This window comes from Homo sapiens, chromosome 3, assembly GCF_000001405.40.
Source record: "Homo sapiens chromosome 3, GRCh38.p14 Primary Assembly".
In the NCBI taxonomy this organism is placed as follows: domain Eukaryota; kingdom Metazoa; phylum Chordata; class Mammalia; order Primates; family Hominidae; genus Homo; species Homo sapiens.
In genome coordinates, this window is record NC_000003.12 from 95,168,967 (window position 1) to 95,173,830 (window position 4,864).

The window sequence follows — 4,864 nt, forward strand, 5'->3', positions numbered from 1 at the left end:
ACAAAGAGTGAAACTCCGTCCCCCCACCAAAAAAAGTTTCATCAGGCCACATGGGTGCCTTCTGAGTTTCTGAATGCTGGTAACACAGTATTTCTTCATCTGGGTTTGAGTACCAGGCAGGACAACCCAAGGGGCAGCAATGCCAAGCTTTCATCAGGCTTTCAGTTCATATTCAGAGTGGGGTCAATTGGCACCTTTGGTGCCCATTTTTATTAAATAGGACTTTTTGCTGAAGCACAATATACATACTAAAAAGCATACAGATTAAAAGGGTTTAGTTCCAATACTTTTTTCTAAAGTACACACATCGGGCATCAATGGGCTGGATAAGCCTTCTGTACCATGAAGAGTTTTCCAAAGACTTTGGAAATCCAACCATCTGAAGGAATATTTCTGAGAAAGGGAGAAATACCCTTGGCGGCTGCTGCCTTTCTTCTGATTGGATTATGGGATATTAAAGATGAGAGCCTTCTATCATTTAGGAGAAAACCTTTTATCTCAGTTCCTGTTGAAATTCAAAACCTGAAGTGCTGAGAAAAGTTGTAAATAATTTTGAAGAATTTCTTTATTCCTAAGGAGGACAACCAAAAAAGGGTTTTTGTCCCAAACAACAGAAAAAGAAAACATACCAAGTCAGAAAATATATGCATATACGTGCATATATATATATATATATATATATATATATATATATATATATATATATATATGAAGTGGGTGGTAAAAGTACGCTTTTGTAATCAAGTGTTTCTGCTATGATTTTGTTACTCATGTGCTCCTGTGTATAAGTAACAACATTGTAACCAACACTACAAAAACTTATTCTTTAATTATTGTAATGGCCCTGACCTTCCAATAAATATCTAGGGTTTGCTTTTCCCACTGGGAAAGGAAGGCTTCGTGCCAGACTTGCAGTTGTTCTGCTTCCTGGGTACCATGAGATATTGAAGGACTGCCAGCACTGAGGGTTCTGGGGAAACATCTCCCAAAGAGTTACCAGGTATAACCTTCAGCAAATGCTCTCTACTGTTACTCCCTTACTGGGTTCCAACAAGCAGTTAATCTAGTCCTTGGTGAAGGTATTATTTTTAATTCAAACTCCATAAAAATATGTGTCCAACTACACGTAAACAGAGGCACAACCAAATATGAAATACTAAAGAGTTAGGAAAATACCAAAATGAAGTTTTATTTTGGAAAAAAATATAGCCTAGGAAACTATACTGCAAAGTCAATTTGCACATGTAGAATAAAAATTTCATTCAAATTTTATACATAATTCCAGTTCCACAAATGAATATGTGTATGCATGTGGGGAAAAGAGGGTAGGGGAAGGAGATTGAAGGGTTGAGAGGTTGATTGATTGAGGTATCATGTGTATAGTTTCTTCTCATTTGCTGCTTTTTATTTCTTTTCACTTTTCAAATGCATATAACTGTTTTACTTTATTACTCTAATAGGAAAACCAATACATTTACTTAATGAAAAATAACCAAACCTTTGAAAGGCAAATTTGTCTGCAGAACTGCTTTTGTATACTCAATTCTTGGGATGTCTGAGTAAAAAGCAAAGTTTTATCCCATCTTTTCATGTCTTTTAAATTCCATTTTCCTGTCCACTCATACGCATTTCTGGGAATCTGAAAAGTGTAGCTTCAATTGTATTAGATATCTTATTAAATTATTCTCCCTGATCCCTTAGTATTATGTCTCATAAAATCACATAGAAAAAGAATGTACATGAAATCCACATACATCAGTAGTTTTCTAAATATATATATATATGTATATATATATATATATATATACATATATATATATATATATTCCTTATGAACAATACTTTTAGGAGGTAGGCCTCATTCTTATAGTCATTTCATCAGAAATGTAGCAGGTATCCTAGTTTTATTATAGATCAAATATTCAAATAAAGACATCTTAACCCTACCTTCCACCCTTTCTTTTCTCCCTCTTCATCCCTCCATCCACTCTCCTTTCCTGTCTTCTTTTCTGATTTCCTGCTTTCCTTCTTTCCTTCCTTGCAAATGAATCCTATATCCCATTAAATATATAGCCTAGGTATTTTTGTCTGATATCTTCTGTTGTCTGTTGCATTTTAAAACTACTTTCAAGAACTTATTTTGACAGTCACAAGGATTAACTATGTAACATGTTCATAAATTTAATCTTTCTTAAATGGCTATGTAATGCAGTAATTACCTGAAATCATCTTCATATATTTATGCTAATCATTTGTATCTCCCGTAGCATAACTGTTTCTCCTTTAACATGCACACCTTCTCAATATATGTCATTGCCCACAAAGAAGCAGGACAATTACTCGGGAGATTTAGGTTTAAAAGAACGCCTTCTTCCCACTTTTTTTTTTTTTGAGATGGAGTCTTGTTCTGTCACCCAGGCTGGAGTGCAGTGGGCTATTTCAGCCCCCTGCAACTTCCACCTCCCCCTTCTTCCAAATTTCTAAAATGTTTTAGTTAGGAGTGTTTTTCTTGTTTTGCCTGAATTCATCAGATACTTTCCCTAATTCCCTTATATGTTTATCAATTTATATTCTTTAGGTTGTATTGGCAATCCCAAACTGAGCCGGTAGAATTATAAACTGTAGTTCCATAAAGAGAAGGAAAGGGCCTGAAAGACTTCTAATGTGATTGCCATTTCTGTAGTATCTCCGTTTTTGCTTTGGGGACAGTATTCCTAGTTTCAATAATTTACACGGAATAATGTTGACAAAGTAATTGATGTTGCTGGTTTCAATGAACTTGGCTTTACATTCAGAGAATCAACAATTTTCTTCTTAATGGTTGAGATTTGCTGATATCTCTGCTCATTACAAGTGTTTTGTAAGGCACTAAAATTTTGATAAAATTTTATAATGTAAATTCCTTTGGGCTTTTCCACAGGAGGCCTACATGCCTACCACCAGTGCTGCCATCATGTCTCTAGTCATCCCTGAGAAGTTCCAGCATATTTTGCGAGTACTCAATACCAACATCAATGGGGGGTGGAAAACAGCCTCTGCCATCACTATCTTTAAGGATGTAGGTCAAAGGTAAGCTCATGTGGTGTTGAGGAAAGCAGACATTGACCTCACCAAGAGGACAGGAGAATTCACTGAGGAAGAGGTGGAACGTGTTATCACCATTATGCAGTATCTACACTAGCACAAAATCCCAGACTTGTTTGTGAACAGATAGAGGATGTAAAGGATGGAAAATATATCCAAATCCTGGCCACTGGTTTGGACAATGAGCTGCATGAAGACCTGGAGCAACTAAAGAAGATTCCAGCCTGTAGAGGGCTGAGCCATTTCTTGGGCCTTCATGTCTAATGCCAGCACAGTGAAACTACTGGCTGCTATAGTCATATCGTGGGTGTATTCAAGAAGAAATAAGTCTGTAGGCTTTGTCTGTTAATAAATTACTCTGGTAGGAAAATTGCTACTTCAAATGTAATATGTTTTATCTTTCAGGGAAAGTCAAATCTTTTCATAAAAAAAATAAATCAAGTCATCTGTATTGTAGCAGTTGGTTTGACTTCCATGCTGATTTGTATTATCTGATAGCAGATTAAATATATTTAATTCACTTGTTGACCTGATGCTATAAGCAGCCAAAGAAACACTGGGCTAAATAACTTCAGAGATCTTCTTTATCAGTTGAATGATTTGTCTTTGTTGGTTCAGTGCCCTGGAATTCTGGGCATTCTTTCAAACCAAGAATTTCAGGTGTTTATGATAATGTTGCCACCTCTTCACTGTAATCACACTTAATTAGTTGCAGCAGGTGGTAGTAGCTGGCACAGTTGAACAGCTCTCCTCACTTCACCAACAATTGGCTATTTGTTCAGCAAATAAAAAGGACTCCGTATGAGAAATCAAGAGAAAAATAGCTGTGCGGTAGCTGTGGTTCTACCAATTCTTTTATTCCCTTGTTTCTTTTCCACTGTAACATTTGTCCCTTTTTTTTTGACAGAGAAAATGGCGTGTTACCTTTTCCAGGGAAATAAATTATATGTATTCAGTAAGCATCCTTTAAAACGTATGAACTGAATTTAGAGATCTGAAACAGAAAGTATTGTTTGAGGTTTTCTTGGCTAGCAAAAGTCATTTTTTTAAATGCCATTGTCAGTGTTAATTTGCCCTGTTAAGCCATTCCACAAATGTATACATGGTTCAAAATAACATGTTTTATCAATAAATATATAAAATTTAATTTGTTATTTAAAAAATTAAAAATAAATAAACGCATGGGAAAAATACTTTTACATGTATTTTCAAAGAGAATGAAGCCTTTGTTAGGTAACATCGTTTTCTAGCATAAAGACCTGATATGGATTTCTTTAAAATTACATTGATATACTTTATTGTATATCATACTTACACATGTACACAAACACACAAAAAAATCCTAACAGTTTATGTAAGTAGAGAGAATCAGGACTGATGTTTTGAGTGTGAAATAAAGTTTCTTTCCATTAAAAAACAATGTCAATTTGTCTTTTAGTGTGTTACTGTCTCAAAATGGTAATGTTTGCTTTTTTCTCCTTTGTGTTTATTAAAATAATAATCTTTATTAATATAACTAGATGTTTAATTATTAAGATAATTCCTTACTATATTTTTTTCTTTCAATTGGTTTTCAAGGAGCTTAAATAAGCCTTGTTTTATCTCTTTGGATTTTCTTATATATATGTATTCTATAATTAGCATTTTATAAAACAGATATATTATCTAGTTTAGGGGAATATAATGTGTTTTAATACCCAGCATTTTTAAATAAAAACATGGAAAAAATAACCTACTATGACTAGTGGTTTGAAGGCCATATGTTGGCATTTTACTTCGG

The 4,864-nt window shown here is 34.3% G+C and overlaps 1 pseudogene; it reads left to right on the top strand.

The window, feature by feature from the left end:
• Window positions 2,943-3,438, top strand: RPS18P6 (ribosomal protein S18 pseudogene 6; annotated as a pseudogene).